The sequence below is a fragment of the Homo sapiens genome, chromosome 5, assembly GCF_000001405.40.
Source record: "Homo sapiens chromosome 5, GRCh38.p14 Primary Assembly".
NCBI classification, from domain to species: Eukaryota; Metazoa; Chordata; class Mammalia; order Primates; family Hominidae; genus Homo; species Homo sapiens.
Genome location: NC_000005.10, coordinates 143,662,321 through 143,681,005, shown reverse-complemented (window position 1 = coordinate 143,681,005; position 18,685 = coordinate 143,662,321). Strand labels below are relative to the sequence as shown.

Sequence of the window (18,685 nt, the reverse complement as noted above, 5' to 3'; positions counted from 1 at the left end):
CAAATATGAGTTTTCAGTTTATGCTCTTGTCTAGAGAGCTAATATTTTAGGATTAGGTTAGGGAGTGGGAAGGAATATAAACATCTGGGAGCACTGTGTAATGTGTATCCAAAGACATTTATCCCAACATCACTGACTCATACACATCAATGAATTGAAGGGTTTGTCATTCATAACAATTATGCCAACCATTCTAGCTGCGTATAATCAGTAAACCTGTTTTCTTTGGAAAGCTGAAGAAGTCACATGGTCTCCATTTTCATTCCAGTGATGTTCCATGGTGGTTTTAAAAATTCAGGGGCTAGGGTTAGATAATTTAAAAAAGGCCCAGCACGGTGGCTTGTGCCTGTAATCCCAGCACCATGGGAGGCCAAGCCAGGTGGATTACCCGAGGTCAGGAGTTCCAGACAAGCCTGGGAAACATGGTAAAACCCTGTCTCTACTGAACATACAAAAAATTAGCCAGGCATGGTGGTACACACATGTAGTATTAGCTACTTGGGAGGCTGAGGTGGGAGGATCACTTGAACCCGGGAGGCAGAGGTTGCAGTGAGCCAAGATTATACCACTGCACTCCAGTGAGACTCTATCTCAAAAAAAAAAAAAAAAAAAAAGAGAGAGAGAGAATTAAAAACAAAAAAAACCTCAGGCTATATTTCTACCAGTGGACAGTCATTTTTCTCATACACAGTAAAGCAGTGTATATATAAAACAAAGTAACATGAATGGAAATGAAATAGCCAAGAAGGGAAAAGGGAATAGTGGATACAATCATCTTCATAGTTCAATTAATATTCTACCATGCCAAGAATTTTGCATATATTATCTCAACTCTTGCCTGTAAGTAGATACCATCATCTCCATGTTACACAGGAAGAAGAAATTAAGGCTTACAGAGGTTAAGTAATTTGGCCAAGGTCACAGACCTGTGAAGTGCAGAACACTGCCCTCTTTTAATGTCTGCTTTTCTTGTTTTGTTTTCTTGGATGGTTGAGTGGAACTGGCCACTCTGAGTTACCCTCTGTGTTGACAGAACATGAGGTGAAGTGACATTTAGAGCATTCGATGACTCAGTCTCTTCTTGAACTGGCAAAAATTCAAGAATGAGTTTGTGCCATTGATACTCATTGTCTGTGGAATCCCATACAGTTCTTCCCTAGCTGTAGATCAGGGTCAATCTGCAGTGACAGAACATTCTACTTCTCTAACATACCATCAGTTTTCTCTTATCACTGTAATGATCTGTTGGGTGACCTTCCATCAATCAGTCTGCTGTTCAGTTTCCTTCATTGTCATTTATGAAGCGTATCCTATAAGTAAAGCCCATTTATACTGGGCACATAGGAGACAGAAAAGTGAAAGAGATTATCCCTGCCTCCCCACGAGAAACTACTCTAGTGGAATTGACATGAATAACTAGGTAGGTAGAGAGAAATAGATGGATGAGGAGACTATGACAAATATGAGAATAAAGGCTAGAATAGTTTGCTATACAAGCAGGAAAGGGAGGGTGCTAGCTTGAAGGTGGGGATCTGAAAAGCCATCTTGAAGAGGCAGAATTTGATCTGGGCTTTGAAAGAAGGATGAGGGGCAAATCTTGGAGAAGGGTCGTGCTACCAAGCAGACAGGACTGTCTTGATTATCCAGCTCATAGATGGCCATCTTGTCCTCTTTTTCACTGGGCTCAGGAATAGTCTGAGCTGCTTTCTCCATACTGCAGCCCAAGGGATCACCACCAATTCTACATAACTGGTTGGTATAAGGAATGAATCCTCTTGACCATCCCTGATTTACCCCTATAGTGGCTCTGCAGGAAGGAATGTTAAGCCAAGTAATCGGGGAATTGTTGTATCCCACAGACCTGAGTAGATGACTATTTGGATTTAGAGAGGGTCTTTCAATAAAAATAAAGTACACAACAAATATAAGTACCTACTTATAGACATGTCCTTGGAACCTCTTACCTCATTCCTTACCTCTCTCTCATCTATGCTTCTCATGGTACTTTATTTAACAGAGACATTTGTTATTCACCTACTTTGTGCAGGGCTCTTTGCTAGGTATCATACAAAGATGTATAAAATATGCCATCTGTTCTCGAGGAACCATCAATTTATGGAAGTATAAGACCTACATTCAGAAAACTATACAAGTCCATATAATCAGAAGGTCATGTGCATTGGCATTTTGAAGTTCTACACTCTCCCATCTCTATAAAGTAACTGGCTTGAAAAAAACAATCTGCCTCCAAAATGTAGGGTATGGTCTCAGGAGAAAGTGACTCACACAAAAAGATGATGACTTTTTGTTCTTCTGCTGTCTCAGAATTTTTCTATCTGTATGATTCCACATTCAAATTCAAGTTTTGAGATGAATACCCAGTTCCCTTTGTATTGGGTGACATTCTATGCTATTAATCTCAATTGATAATTTTATCTGTGTAATGGCTTCTAAGTATGAAAAAAACAAAAAAATTCCTCTCCGATATTAAAGTTGGGAACCAAATAGAATAAATGTTTTACATCTGACCCAAGCATGTAGTGGAAAAATACAGAACCTGTATTTTCAAATCATTTAAATGAAACATGAAATTGAAACAGAAAGTCAATAACCAAATTAATCATCTTATTACAAAGAAAATGTAACCTGCTTCATTACTGTAATGGCAAACATCAATAGAGTAGAAAATTGACCAGTTTTCTTACATTAGAAAAAAATCTGATTCCTGGTTGCCTAGGAAGCTCTACTCATATTAGTCTTTATTGCATCTTCTGTAATGAATTAAAGCCTGTAAGGTCTCATTAGCACATTACTAATGTAAGTTTTAAAAGCCATATTAAATAACATAAAATGTTACAGTATGAATGTTGTGAGGCTGAGTGTTAAGAGAACAAATTTACATTTTACTATTTTGAAAGTGAACCCATTTGGTTTTGAAGATATTCAACAGCACATGTAAAATAACCAAGAACTTTATCCAAATTAAATAGCAAGTTGGAAATAAGGGATGTAAGTCTAAGAGGGAAATGTTCACCTTTTATATCTAAAGCAAGTCTTCCCAGATAAACCACTTGGCTGATCAAATCATGGGTCAAGAAGTTTGATCCTTGCTCCATCAAATTGGATTACAATTAAGGTTCTAATGTGTCAAAAACATATTTTAAAATATATTCCTTTTCATACAATATGTTATCTTCATACTCACTCACAGAATTTTAAGATCTTAAAGTGGCATAAATTAAAAGTAATAACAAAAGCTAAGAAAAAAATAACATGGGAAAAGAAAAGGAGTACTCAACAATAAGAGCAAGCTTGGAGGTGCACAGCACATTCCCTCAGACCCTTTCTATTAAAATGGAATGTGCCGCCACAGCATTCCAGTCCCTTTTCCAACCTATAATTAATGTTCGTCTTATTTGTGGTGTGAAACTAAAAATGTTCTGAGAGGTGATATACAGGCATTTCAGAGGGTAGCAGAGGCGGCAGCCAATGCTGTGAAGAGAATGCGAGAACACTACCACGACGCCATCATTTTCTTGCCTGTTCTCACCAAAGTGTTTCAAGCAGAGCCAGCTCCCAACAGGCAGGTATTAGAGACTATAGAGGTGCATTTTGGATGGGAAAGAGGTACTATATGTATATATGTGTATGGCAGATGTTGAGTAGCCTGTGTTAACTCTCTTCTTTTCATTTGTTTCAGCCCTTGAATGTTTTATTATAATTAATGTGTTCATTTTCTGTACTCATGCCCAGAGCATGTTGCAATAGGCATAATTTTAAAAATTGGAGAAATCCATTAAATAAATAATTAGTTTAAGGTGATAAAATACATTAAATGATTGAGAACAACTAGTACCAGCTCTGAATAAAGCAATTTTTTAAGAAAAAAGACACACTTTTAGAATTCCAACTTCAGAGTACTACTCTATTTGTCTAAAAATACAAGGTTGGCACCAAGCCCAGAAAGGTGGCAAGTGGAGCTTTGATAGACCAGGACAGACAGGAGATTCCAGAGCCGAAAGATCCCTGGTCAACATGCCCTGCCTTCAGTTGTCCAAGATCTAAATGGAGGATCTATTAGCAGAGACCCAGAGTGCATTTCAGCTGTCACCATTTGTGTATACAGAGACAGCTTAATTTTAGCAAGGAGGATGACTTAGTACCTGATGCTTTCAACCTCTGGTACCAAGGGATTTTAGATAGAATTCAAGTTGAGAGGATAAATGAAAAAATGTCTTTTTGTGGTTGGGATGGGGTAAATGTGTGCATGAGTGACTGATATAGGTATATGATAGCTATTGTTCACTAATATTAAAAGCTTGGGGAATTGGTTTCTCATAAATCTCCGAGTCATATATAGAATGCTGAAATGTACATATCCCCTTATCCATCTATAATTAAGTGGGCCTAAGTTTTACCCAATAGCTAATCATGGATTACTATAACCATTCATTTGAAACACTTTGTCTTCATAGCTAAGTATGTCTTCCTATACATCCTTGCCCATGCCCTGAATTGGGTAATAAGGGTCTTTTGTAAGGCCTTTTTGTGGTCTTAGACTTTGTGTAAAGGTGTTTTGTGGGTTCCTCTGGATCCTTTTTTTTTTTTTTTGTCTTCCAGAAGTCTCTTTCCATAAAAGCAAATTTGTCAGTTACAAAAAAAAAATGAGATTAAATAGAATAGTGTTTGTAAATGTATGTGTAAATGCAACATAAATGTCGATCATTTGATGCAGATCAAAATTGGCATACTAATCTAAAAGTACACAAAAAGTGTATTTCACTGTTTAAGTCTTATCAATTTAAGTTTGTACTCAGAGTTTCTAATATTGGCTAATTTCAGATTTTGCATCTTCAGATTCTCATGACTACAGTTACACTTAATGCATTTCAAGGGAAACAGAAATTTTTTTTCTCTTCTTCAAATGATTTGTTTTTCCTTATTTATCGGGATAGAATGTAAGATAGATTAATTCAAAAAAAAGCTCTCTAGTATCTGTTGACAATTTTTAAAATAATGCTAATTGCCACAGAGAGGGTCTTCTTATTTAAGTTATCATATGACCTTGGACCCCAAAACTACTTCTTTATCCATAAATTGTAATAGAAACATCCTCCCTTTTTTCTTTTCCCAAATAATGTGACATTCAGTCTTTCACTGGTCATGAAACATTTTTGAAATATGCCAAGTGTTATATAAATGTAAGGTAGTATTATCCATTGCTAATCCTGTTTTAAGGACTTTCATGTGTTCAGAGGTTTTACTAAGTGTTATCATGTCATATTTTCTCAGTGGCTCTGTTTCAGTAAAAAAGCACTAGATCTAAATGTAACTGAATTAATTAAAGCTTGGTTTTTGCTTGTTTGGTTAGTAGAATTTACCCATATTATATCTGTGCACACGTTCTCTGTGCCTATCCTCTTTTCCATCTGCTTCATATCCCTTGGACTTCACAAAAGAAAGGATGGAAATGATAAAAAGAGGCCACAGACAAGTTTATTGGGATTTTTTTGGTGGTGGGGGGAGGTGACAAATTTTCAAAATCTCCAATCCTGTTTCAGTTTCTCCTAGAAACAGCTGGAAAAATGACAACCCTATTCATTAAGTACAAAGTTAATCAACTAAGTGTCTGGCCTCCCAGCAATAGAGGAAACCCCAAACAGAGGTAACACTAGAGCAATGCAGGTCCAGCTGCTTGGTCTTCATTAGGAGGGCTTGGTTTTTTCCCATGTTTTCCCATGTTGTTGAGTATGGGAGTAAGAAAATGCTTGTCCTTAGCGAATACTTTAAGAGCAATTGTTCTGAATACAGAATGAGGAAACTGGAGTTTAAACTTTGCAGAGCCATTGCTAAGAACATCTCCTTCCTAATGATGCCTTTCTTTACAGAGCCTCATAGAGTTCATACAGCTCTTCACAGAGTTGGCTTCAAAAGTGGTCCCAGAGATGAATGGGCAAGCCACTGTTGCCAAGCCTGCTGAGAATCTGAGATGTCAAAGTGAAGTGGCTTTATAAAAGACACTTGTTTCTGCTTAGGTTCTAAAGCATCTAAAAGAGGAAAGAAAAGTTACCATTTAAAGCCAGAAACTTGACTGCCTTCTTTTTGCAGGCTAGGGGAAAGCAGAATCCACCTCAGGAGAAAAAGCTTTGTATTCAGGAAAATGCCTTGCTGGAACTATTTAGGTGTGCAATGTGAGCTGCTGCCTCTTCCCAGGCATCATATTTCTCAAAGGAGAAACAAAAACAGCAATATCAGTGCACTTAACATAATAGGAGAGAAATTTGGGAATGAGGACCCTGCAAAAGACAAAGAGGGAAATCACAAGAAAGACCAGGAAAATAAAAGGAGACAGATCTGGGAGGAGAGACAGCAACAAGGAGCTGCCAGAGGCAGCTGGTGGACCAACCATTGGCTGCGTGTCACCCTCGGCCACTCCTTTATTCACAACAGCCTTGGGGGGAAGTGGAAGGAATTCAGGGACAAGTTTGGGAAAGAAAGTATGCCACCCTTCTACTCTCACAGAAATACTGACAAAGCACTGTGGAAACATTAAGAACCAACCAACTAGCCCTTTCTTGGAGAGTCTGGGCTTCACCAAGAAGGTGATGGAAGGGAAGGTGCTTACCCACTTGGGCAGAAACAGCAGGCAGGGCATTTCTCTGAGGGTACAGCATATGCAAAGGCTTGGAGGTCTGAAGGGACCTGAGGAGCTTAGACAAAAAGCCAAATTGTGGTAGCTCTTTTTAATCAGGCTAAAACATGTTTTTCTTTACTGTTAAAAAGTGAGTAACTAAAGAAGGAATTTAGGCAGGAGAAAGACAAACAGATTTGTGTTGTACAAAGACAGCTCGGGTGTGTGCCTTCCAACCACTTATTTACTCAACAAATATTCACCAAGCTCTTTTGTGCTGGGGCTATGCTAGGCACTGGCGATGTGGTGATGAATTAACAGACTAATTCTCGCTTTCATGGCACTCACAGCTTGGTTAGAAGATAGATGTTATAAAATAGTCACAAAAATTAAAGTTTAATTTTAAGTGGTGGCAAATGCTATGCAAGGAGTGCTTTGATGGAGAATTAGAAGGGAGACCTAACTTTGATTGGGCCTCAGGAGGGAGTCAGTTCATTTAGGGCCACCCACCTGAAACTTGACAGATGAACACACATGAGCCAAGCTAGAAGGGATATAGGGGCTACATACCACCTGGGGAGCTAGAGGCTGAACAGTCAATCAGGAAACTATTCTGAAGGTCCAGACAGGTTCCTGAATTTTCATCTACAATTCAGGGGTTTGTCTGTGTTGGTGTTTAAAGCCACCTGTAGCTCTGAAGTTCTACAGCAAGTAAGCATCTGCTCACATTAGGCTAGGAGAGGATTAGGAAGGAAATGAAAGATATGTAAGATAGGGGTCCTCAACAAACAGTGACTGTCCAACAAATTGAGCTTTTGGTAGAGATTCAGAGAGTTTAGCTGTAGGGATGTATTAAACTTCATAGATCCTTGATAAAATTCTTACAGTACTTTTAGTTGTTTCTCACTGAAATGTTAGAACCATGTACCACTCCCCAGAACCCAACTTCTGTTTCTTAAAGTTTCTCCTCCTGTATTCCCTCTTATTTAGGGCTCTCCAGTCACAAAGTATATATGTGTATATATATTTGAAACTTACAATGTCTAATACAGAATTGAACACACACTACACATCATCATCATCATCTTTATAGTAGAGATAAAGGTGTTATTAACCAGCCAAAGAACTGCCATGTAATTGGTGACCACCAATAACATACAGGGACAGTGCCTTGCACTCAAAACTATTTGGATGGATACATGAATATACAAATGAACTCTGCTTCAAAGTGTTCAACTGAGAAACAGTACAACACCTGCCACAATCTCTCTAAGGCTGTGATACACATAAAGTGTGATTCTGTGCTGTCCTTAAGTGCTTCCACTCATGTGATAGACAAAAGGCAGGAGGTGTTCCCACTCATTCCCTACACTCTCAAAACAATTCTTGTTCTGCCCACTCAGTTTCTCTTCCCACCCCTGATAAGCTCCAAAGAGCTTCTCTCCCTGATTTTCTGGGCTTTTATATTCAGAACTGGGAGAAAATTGAGCAAAAGAGGTGAAAATAGGCTTTGGCCAGGCTTGAGGGAATGGAGCAAATTTTATTTTTGTTCTTTTCATATTTATGGGCCACTTTTTCAGTAATTTTTATACTTTTACATAATAGTATCACATCATAAATTCTACTTTCTTTATGGGGGCCATTTTAAATAAATCTTTACTTTGTTGGTTTGCTTACCTTCACATCCCCAGGAAAAGTTTATTGTCTGTCCATCTGCGCATCTGTGTGTATGCCTGTGTGTTTGTCTGTCTGTCTGTCTCCTATCTTCTTTTGGGCAGAGCAAGCTGCCAAAGAAGCTGCAGTAAGCAAGGGGAGAGGAATGGTGAGAAAAAGGGAATTTTAAGCAGGGTTACTCTAATACATGAGTCTTCTTTAGAGCATCCAAGAAAAGCAAGCAAAGGAGATCCGCTATTATGAAATTCCTCCTCGGCTATTGGACTGTTTGAACAATGAGGACACAGCTCTGAAACAGGCTAAGGGGAGACTGCTCTGATTCTCTAGGCAGTGACTGCCTTCTACTTGGTCTCCTCCTGACTGCTCTTCTACTTAGTGATGACAGATTCTAATTTCAGAAATGTAGACACAGGAGCTGAAACAGGTGCAGGCCTAGACTCATGGAGAGAAGGTTTAGGGAGGCACATTTAAGCTCAGTGCATTTACAATTTTTCTAACAAGTGGAAGTAATCCATGAAAGAGTGTGTACCCTGCCAAAGTGTTAACAGCACTGATGAAATAGGTCTCATTGTAGGTGGCTAGGCTAAATAATACCTAAGGCCCTCACCTACACCAAAACGCCACTGATTTAGACATTCACTAAACACACATTGCATTGTATGGAGACATGTTCAACCATTGTGCAAACCCAAGATGGGGCCCTTGTCCCAACCCCACCTCAGTTCTCCAGAACCCCAAGTAACCTGGCTATTTTTCAAGCTGATTTCTCAATAATTCTGATGGGAAGAATGTACTTTTCCAGATTCCATTTTTTCCCCACATACCAAAAAGACTTGTCTAACCTGTCAGCCTATAACTACCACCAAACTCAGCATCAAGGTTTATCTTAACTTAAAAAAAAAAAAAAAAAAGACAAATACTTGTGCAGTTCAAGTGCAATACAAATAAAACTGGTTACGGGGCAGTTCAAACGATTTGGAAAAGGCTTCCTTAATATCTTGGAGAGGCAGAAGTTCTGTCAGTGACCACAAATTGAGTTCATACTACTCTTCAATACTTTGGGCATGGCAGAAAAATGTTAAAATGCAAGATTAGCCTGCCTTTGGGTGACAGTATAGCATCTGGCTCTACCCTCTGGGAGGTTCTTAATCTTCCATTATTGTCCTTTGCTGCCTCTGAAGTGGGTATTGTGGCATATGCCCTCCTTACTAGCTTTCTGTTCAGGGAAGTTTGAGGGCCAAGGGTCATTTTAAGTTCCTTGCTTTTTAGACAGATACAACTTTGTCAAAAATTCAGTAGACTTCCCATGTATTTGCTTGCATTTAGTCCCATCTGCCAGTAACATCTACAGGTTTTGTTTGAGATATGGCTTTCAAAACTGCTTTATTTCTTTGTGGATGCCTTTGAACTTAATGGCAACACACCAAATCCAATATTAGCCCCGAATCATTTGAATCATCTGTTTCTGGGCATTTGTTATTCACGGCTATTTTATATCACATTTCTCACAGTTTGTGGTTCAAATGCAGTGGGTTTTCCAATCTTTTAACGCCTCGCATTTCTGGACTCTGTGGCCTTTGATTTGTACCAATTCGTTCTAAAGTGTGTGCATGTCTCCCTCCCTTTTTTAAAATAGTACTTTGCTGACTGCAGCCAATAGTGGCCAAACCATACTACTACTTTATATCTTCTAAAACACTCCCCTTGAGCTGCCATCTCAGTACTCATGTGGTTCCTTTTCTAAATTATCACAGGTGAGAGTTCCTACATTTTTTTTCTACTGACTAGCATCAGCTCCACGTTTTTAGTCTCCATTACCAATTTCCTCTGCCTGTCACCTGACTGCTAAGCCACATACAATGGGGCTTTGTTATGGTAGCCGATACAGTTTGGATGTTTTCCTCCTCCAAATCTCATGTCAAAATGTGATTCCCAATGTTGGAGCTGGGGCCTGGTGGGGAGACATTGGATCATGGGGATGGATCCCTCATGAAGGGCTTAGTGCCATCCCCTTGGCGATGAGTGAGTTCTTGCTCAGTTATTTCACATGAGATCTTGTTTAAAAGTCTGGGACCTCCCCACCCTCTCTCTCTTCCTCCTGTTCTCACCATGTGATATGCCTGCTCCTGCTTCACCATGACTGTAAGCTTCCTGAAGCCTCACCAGAAGCGTAGCAGATGTTGGCACCATGTTTGTGTAGCCTATAGAACTATGAGCCAATTAAAACTCAATAAATTACACAGTCTCAGGTAATTCTTTATAGTAATGCAAGAACAGCCTAACACAGCAACACCCATATGTGGCATCATATGCTGGTTTTGTCATTAGCTAGTTTATGCTACAGAAACAAGCTCACCCCTCAAATATCTGTTTATTAGTATTTAAAAGCTCATTCTTTACTCAAAGTCCACCATAGGTCTAATGACTTTCTATGACACCTCCCTTCCAAGTAGTGATTCAGGGATCCAGGCTGTTTCCATCCTGTTAGTATGCAACTGGAACACATGGCAAATGGAAAAGAACGCTGAGATCATCAAGTAGCAGCTCTAAAATGCTTTGGAAAAATGGTTACATGAAGTCACTTTTCCTCATAGCCCTTGGCCTTGCCAAACAGTCCTTGCCTGTTTAGTGAATAGCAAATGTCTCTGGTACACATACTAAATCAAACTCTGAGAGTAGGGTATGAAATCTTCATTTTAATACATAACCCAGTGTTTGAGAACATTTGTTTTCAGATAGGTGATGGTATTCCTGTGCAATTCATAATAAAAGTGAAGTTCAGAAATGTTGCAAATTACCCAAGTTCACATAAGGTCACACAAATTTAGTAGCAAAGCTGTTTGTGCCTCTTAGTTCAGGTCAATTCCAAACCACTGAAGTATAAAAACCCCATAACAATGAAAACTATAATATTTACTTAAGACCATAGAATGAGGAATCATGCATTCATTTTCTTGACTGGAGCCCTAAGAATGGAAGGAAACAGTATCAGAAAAGAGGTGAAAGCAGTGTGTTTGCAAAATCAGACAAAAGCCGAAAGGACAGAAGGAGAGGAGGGAAAAACATTTTCCCACAGAAGAGGAAACAACTTGGTCAAGTGTAAATCTGCTAATGCTTCATACCCATAAGCTTAAAACAAGTCAAAAACCTCTGATTAGATCTCCCTAGTCCTTAGCTGGACCAGATGACAGGATTTGAAAGATGTGTGATGTACCTGGATATTACGAGGATTGGGGACAACACTTTGTACTTCCTCAGAGTTGGCTTCATGTGTGAGCTCCAGTCTTGCACAGAAACTGCTTCAAATCTGCAACAAAAGTTCACATTTGCTGAGAGTGAAAATATTCTGTCAAGGTGAAGGGATAAGCCTCAGAACTCAGGGAGTTTGCTTTGGAATTTGCCAATTTTATCCTTGGATCATACCAAAGAAGAAAAAATAAATGTGGGTGAAGAAGAGGGAAATTCTTCCTTGCTAAGAAGACAGAAATAGCTTGAGCTAATTATATTAACCTAAAAAAGTAGGAGAAAATTAACGAGAAATAAGAATCTTAACTCTGGAAATAGCCTCTCTTCTGTGCTATTGAAATCCTGTACCCTTTGGTGGAACAAGCTCAGGTCAGAAGCTAACCTGCCAAAACGAAATTCTAGAAATAGGGAATGCTTTCAGGCATCTTGAGTCCAGCTAAGTATATTCCAGCATTTTTCCAAACTTTTGGGTTCAGTAAAACATGATTCCAATTTCGCCTCAGGCCTTTACTTTTGGGAAACTGTATGTATTTTTGAACAAATTCAATTTAGATGTTTCTTATTTTCCTGCCCTTTAACTCATTAGAATGTTATTTTGTAGGAGTCATTTGTTTGGGAAGCAATCCGATTCTTTTGGAAAAACTTTGAAAGCCTTTGTTGTTGGGATAATAAGCAAAATGTTGCCTGTTTTTGAATCTATACATTCAAAGTGAACAGGAAAATTATGGAAATTATCTAAATCAAGGATTCTTATAATGTGGTCCCCAGACCAGTGGCATCATCATCACCTGAACACAAGGCCCTGACATCCACAAGGGCCTCATAGTTGGTTCAATGCTATAACCACATTGAAATTCCTGTAACTTGATATTGGTAGGTAAAGTTCAATGAGATACTGGGACATTCATGGGACACATGGTGAATGAGTGTGAGCAGAGATATATGCAATATGTGTACCTGCAGTTCTTGCTGCCCCATTTACAGATAACATTTACAACGGCCCATGAGCACAGAATTTCAGTGGCCCCATATGCATGAGATTCAGAGTATAAAGTAAGCGTGTCACTTCAATAACTGAATAAACGGGGGCAGAAAGGGAACTGGAGGGGTTACTGACAGCCCAGAGAAGTCACATTTTTCATTTGAACCAGAACTTTGCTTGAACCCAAAAAGAAAGCATTCTAAGAAACATGAACCACCAAAGAAGCCTATCATATTCTTTCTAACTTGTGTATTAGCCACTGCTTACACTCAAAGAAGGAAATCCTTAATCCTTGACTAAGGCAACTTATGGTTCCTCGTCCTGTCAGTATTTCCTTACCCATCAGTAAATGAATGGAAGCCAACTTTTCTGGAATGTGTCCACATCAAGGAGTGAAACAAAAACAGCAGAATCAGTTATATGGCACAGCTCTACTCTTCCATTAAGAATGGAATACATCTGTATGTACGAGCTATTAAGGATGAATTGCATACTTTCAGTGACTCCTCAGACAAGTTAAATGCTCTTGAAAATTGACGTTGTATAATCTACAGATGAATAATACAATTCTTGTTAATAATTTACTATTTTTTTCTTAGGACATTAAACAAAAACAAATAAAAATGTCATGACTGGTTGAAAGAGATCATGGAAAATAGGAAACAGTTTTTATCTTTTATTATCTTATTTAATGAAAACTTTTCCTGCTTTTTGAATAAGGGACCCGCATCTTCAGAGTGTGTGTGTGTGCACGCGTGCGCACATGTGGGTGTGTGTGTGTGCATGTATGTGTGTGTGCGTGTTTGTGTGTGTGTGTGTGCAAGCTCTGGGTCCCACAAATTAGGTAGCTCTGACCAAGAAATTAATATAACATGCAAATTCTTGAGCTCATGCTCAGATTTAAGAACCATTGGCCAGATTATTTCAGCTGGAGAACCCCATGACTCTATTTATCCAGAAGTTTCAGGTCTGATTAAGTAACCTTATTTCTTTTACCTACTCTATGAAAACAACTCCAATAAGAGGCAGGACGGAGCACCACTCCACTGCCTTCAGACCTGGCCTCTAAATATCTATTGCCATTGCTTGTGAGCCTCTGCTGTGGACTCAGCGCATCTGTGTCCACCCCAAGGCAGCCATGCAACCATGGGCAGGATTCTCAACCTCTCTGATCCTGTTTTCTCAGCTGCAAAATGGAGGTATTAATGCCTGCCTCTTGGGGTAGTTAGAGGAATGAAATCAGCTGATACATGTAAAATATTTAGCACAATGTCTGGCACATAGTAAATACTCAAGGAAAAGCATATTACGATTAAATTATTAGTAGTCATTATTATCTATGTTCCTTATTGCTAGTCCTGTTAGCTTCTTCTTAGACAAATCTCTTAGGCATCACCCTTGCATAGCTCTCCCGGGTTCCTCGCTCTGCCTCAGGTTGGGATGTAAAATACAGAAGAAAAACCCAAGAGTAGAACCTTACTTTTCCTTTTACTTGCAGAGGGGACAGAAAGAGAAACAAAACAGGTTCTTTCATATTCTTGATTAGGCATTTTCTTGCCTAAAAGTGGTATGTTCTGCCTTCCTAAATAATTTTGCTTTATTTTAAATCTAAAGTATACAAGGAAGTCCCTATCACCCTTGACTTGATATTGTGTAGTAAAGAGAGTTCATAATAGCTAACAGCCTGAACTTTGGAGAGGGAACCACCTGTATCCTGACTGCCACTCGCTGGCCGAGTGATCACAGGCCAGCAACAGACCAGTGTTGGATCAGTTTCTTCAAATGAACAAAAACAACCCACTTTATAATATAGTGGAGAGGACTAAGTGAAAGAAAGTATGTTATTCTTCAAGCACAATGACTTGATTTTTGACCAGATTCCTATAAGCTGGAGCCCAGAAAGGTCTCAGGTAGGGATCTCTGGATAATATTTTGCCTGGAAGAACATTCCAGCCAATAGCACGCTATGAAACTTCTATAATGATTCATTACTGGTCAGCACGTTCTTCCAACACTCAGCACATGTTCCTATCCTGACATTTCCTGCTCTTTTCATGGCTCAATTTCTGGAATCTAATAAAAATGATACTGTAGTAACCATGGTGGGAGTAACGGCTGCCTGAGTAGCAGTAGCAGCGGATATTTGAGAACTTATAATGCCAAAGGGACTGTGCTAAGATCCTTTTATGTATCCCATTTAGTCCTCACAAGCCTACAAGGTAGTTATTATTATCCCCATTTCACAAGAAACTAAAACACAGGAAGTATTTTAAGTTTTAAGGTCATATAACTAATCAGTGGATGTCCCCACCCTTTCCTAGCCCGGTCCCACTGGCCCTCATGCTACATCTCGTCGTTAGAGAAATCCCCATAATCAAGTGTTGCAGTAAATACCCAAGTAGTGACAGGGGACCGAGGAGTGTCCATCTGCCCTTTCCCCCCTGAGCATAAGAGCAGGAAGTTGTGGAGAAAGTAGAAAGTCCTCACTGTTTCATCAGCAGCCACTGTGCCATCTGGACTCATCACTAAATCTTCCTCTTAAGGGGAAAATCCTTAAAACATCAATACCCATTGAACAATGAGTATAAAGTTTCATTTATACAAGATGAAGAGGTTCTAGAGACCTGCTGTACAGCACAGTGCCTATAGTTCACACTATTGTATTGTGCACTTGAACATGCAGATCTCAAGTTAGGGGTTCTTTCCACAAAAGCAGGGAAGGGACAGGAAGAAACTTTTGGAGGTGATGGATATGTTTCCTTCTTTGATTGTGGTGATTCTTTCACAGGTATATGCATGTGTTCAAAACCATCAGATTCTATACATTAAGTATAAACAGTTTTTATATAATCATTATACTTCAGTAAAGCTGTTAGATTTTTTAAACCATAAATAAAACTAATAAGGTCTCTCATGTGAAAACAGGGGAAGAATATTTGACATGAAGCCACTATGTGAACTGTCTGAAATCTCATGTCTGCTACTCAACTACCCTACCAGAGTCAGACTCCCAGGATCCATAGAGAGCTTTCTGCCTCCTCCTTCAAATATTCAAGGATGTATCTCTAGACTTCGAGCTTCTCCACATCTACATTTCAGCCCAGGCACAGACCCTAGCTCATGAGATATGTCCACTATATACCATTAATAGATTAATTAATCCATCTATGAGCTATGGCCCTCATTCTACCCAGCAAAAGTAATGGAGGCCTATGTTTGACTTGGGAAGGAAACCACGTCTCTCCCCCTAAACACAGGAATACAGCTGGGGACAATAGGGAGGAAATGTAACTAATTTATTTCACAAGCATTGCCAGGTACTGCCCTCAGCACCTGGGTAACAGTGATTGGTGGGGACAATATTGGGGCTAAATAGAGTGGTAGCCATGAGCCTTGACTGGAGGCAAGAAGAGCTTGATTTGAATCAAAAATCTACAAATTGCTACTCTAGAAACTTTAGGAGAGGTTCTCAACAGCTCTGTGCCTCAGTTTCCTCATCTGTAAGCAGAAATAATAGTAGCACCTACCTCATAGAGTTCTTGGGGATTAAATAAGATAAAGCACATGAATTATTTAGCACAATGCTCAGCATATGGTAACAATAAATGTTACATGCTACATGACCACAATACAATGATCCCTGCCCACAGAGCAGATGTTAGCACAGTTTTTTTCTATAAAGGGTCAGACAGTAACTGTCTTATGCTTCGCAGTCCACGTATGGTCTCTGTCACAACAACTCAACTCTGCCATTATAGCACAAAAGTAACTACAGATGATACAGAATTGAATCTTGTAGTGTTTTTAACATGTCATGAAATCTCATTCTCCTTTTTTTTCCAATCATTTAAAAATGTAAAAGCCATTCTTAATTCACCGACTCCCCTCTCCCCAAAACAAGACAACAGGCTGGATTTGGCTTGTGGGCCATCACTTCTGTCACGGGGGAGCAACGACTGTCTAGGCCAGTGGCACATGGGTAAAAGAATTTCCTAAGACAGTTGTACATAAAGAAAGGCAGATTTATTAGAGAAAGTATGAAAATACGTTGTGAGATGGCAATGGGCAAATCAGCAGAAGAGGAGCTGACTGCAAGGAAACAGAGGCTTGCTGGAGATTTTATTGAATTGTGTTTATGGTGTATGCTGAAGAGGGCTTTGTGCAGTACTGATAATGCCAAGGTTGCAGTGAGCTAACTTGCAGATGTCTGGTGATAAGATGGGCACAGGAGGGCTGCGTGTCCTGGATCATGGAGAAAGGCAAATTTATGGCTTATCTGCTTTCTCTTTTTCCTTTCTCCTGGTCCCACCAGCCTGACTCCTTTTCCCTAATTAGGACTCCACAGTTTCTGACCCCTGGTCTGGAGCGGAAATTGGAAAATATACAAGCTGTTGCAGTATGATGTGTTTGTTCAAAGTGCAGAGAAGGGAGGGGTTTGTTCAGCCTGGCAGTGGAGAGGAGGAAGAACAACAACACCTCCATAAAAGAGAAAACACTTGAACTGGGCTTTTGAGAGTCAGTAGGAGTTCAACAGATGATACTGATAAAAGAAGGAGTCTGGGTGTGGTGGTTCACTCCTGTAATCCCAGCACTTTGGGAGGCCGAGGTGGGTGGATCATGAGGTCAGGAGTTCAAGACCAGCCTGACCAACATGGTGAAACCCCATCTCTACTAAAAATACAAAAATTAGCTGGGCGTGGTGGCATACACCTGTAATCCCAGCTACTTGGGAGGCTGAGGCAGGAGAATTGCTTGAACCCAGGAGGCAGAGGTTGCAGTGAACAGAGATCACACCACTGCACTCCAGCTTGGGTGACAGAGCAAGACTCCATCTCAGAAAAAAAAAAAAGAGAGAGAGAAGGAAACAACCATTAGAAAAAGAATGAGCAAAGGGGAGAAAAAAACAGTCTCTGCTTACTGAAAATGCATTTTTAAAATAGATTTTAAGAAATACATTCTTTGTTATCTCTGGTAATCTCATTATGAAAAGTGGCCAAGTCTTTTGTCAACAAAATCATTTCTCTGTATTTTTTTAACCCAGATATACAATGGATTAGCTTAAAGAAAATGGGGATTATTTGCAATTAGTTTTAAACTCAGATGCCTGGAATCCAAAAATGTATTATTTAAAGATATTTTTAATATAGAATAACTAGAACTTGTTTAATGATTCCATATTGAACCTTTAAAAATGTCTTTTTAGTTCTACAAAACAAATCTATGCCTTTTCAACCTATTTAGCATCTGAGGCACAGAAGACTACAGAAAGTAAGTTGGAAAATACATTTTGGACTTGTCATATTCTTTTATTCAACAAGCATGTATTGAGCACCCACTGGGCACCAGGCACTTAGGAGGATGCTGAGTGTGCACACGGACGTGCAAAGGCACATCATCTACCCTCACAATGAAATAAAGGAACACTTAGCAGCATATTAAAGCAGGTCCAAGGCATTTGGACAAAAGGGAAGAAGTTCTACCAAACTCATTGTAGATCATTATGGGAAGCTCGTACTTTCCGCCAGAGGCATTTCTTCTGTACTCTTTACTCCACTTATACTCCAGGTGTTCCAATCATCTGAAAAAAATGAACAATGCAATGCTGAGGTATGAACAAATGCCCTTATACCTACAACTATATAAATATACCAAAGTAGGGAAGGAGGTTGGGAGGGCTGGGGTGGGCTATTTCAGACCAGTGGTTACCCTCCAGTGTTGCTTTGAAATCCATTCCAAGGCAACTAGAGCTATTAAAAAGCAAGCAATTCTTACCTTATCATGCCTGCAAGAGGAAAGACTTTGCTCTCATCACTGAGAACTGGTTTTCTGAAATTAAATAACAATCCAAGACCAGTATGTCTAGCAGGGTGTTGGAGATCAATACTCCAAGGCAAGTGAAAGGCAACTAGAAAAGAAGGTGGTCCACAGGCTGGAACCCCAAAAATACAAGAGTGGAAGGAAACTAATGACTGATGGTATAAGTTACCTGTCCTTTCAAATGCATGGACACCCAATAGTGTTCCCACAGAGAGAACACCTTCACCACCCTTTCTCTGGCAACCAAACCAAGGGTTTGCTTTTTCATTGATCTTTCCCCAAATTAAGCCAGCATTAGAAAGAACCTAGAGAAAAGGGTGCAAACAGAGTTGTTT

The 18,685-nt window shown here is 39.5% G+C and overlaps 1 long non-coding RNA gene and 1 other non-coding gene across 2 annotated transcripts; both read right to left on the bottom strand.

The window, feature by feature from the left end:
• Window positions 1-1,034: 1,034 nt before the first annotated feature.
• Window positions 1,035-1,146, bottom strand: MIR5197 (microRNA 5197). The gene has a single exon (NR_049829.1). It is a non-coding gene; the product is annotated as a microRNA 5197 (primary transcript).
• Window positions 1,147-4,596: 3,450 nt separating this feature from the next.
• Window positions 4,597-18,113, bottom strand: LOC105378210 (uncharacterized). The gene is made up of 3 exons (XR_944377.3): window positions 18,049-18,113; window positions 11,520-11,612; window positions 4,597-8,427 (listed from the first exon to the last, which is right to left on the bottom strand). It is a non-coding gene; the product is annotated as an uncharacterized LOC105378210 (long non-coding RNA).
• Between the last annotated feature and the right edge of the window lie 572 nt (window positions 18,114-18,685).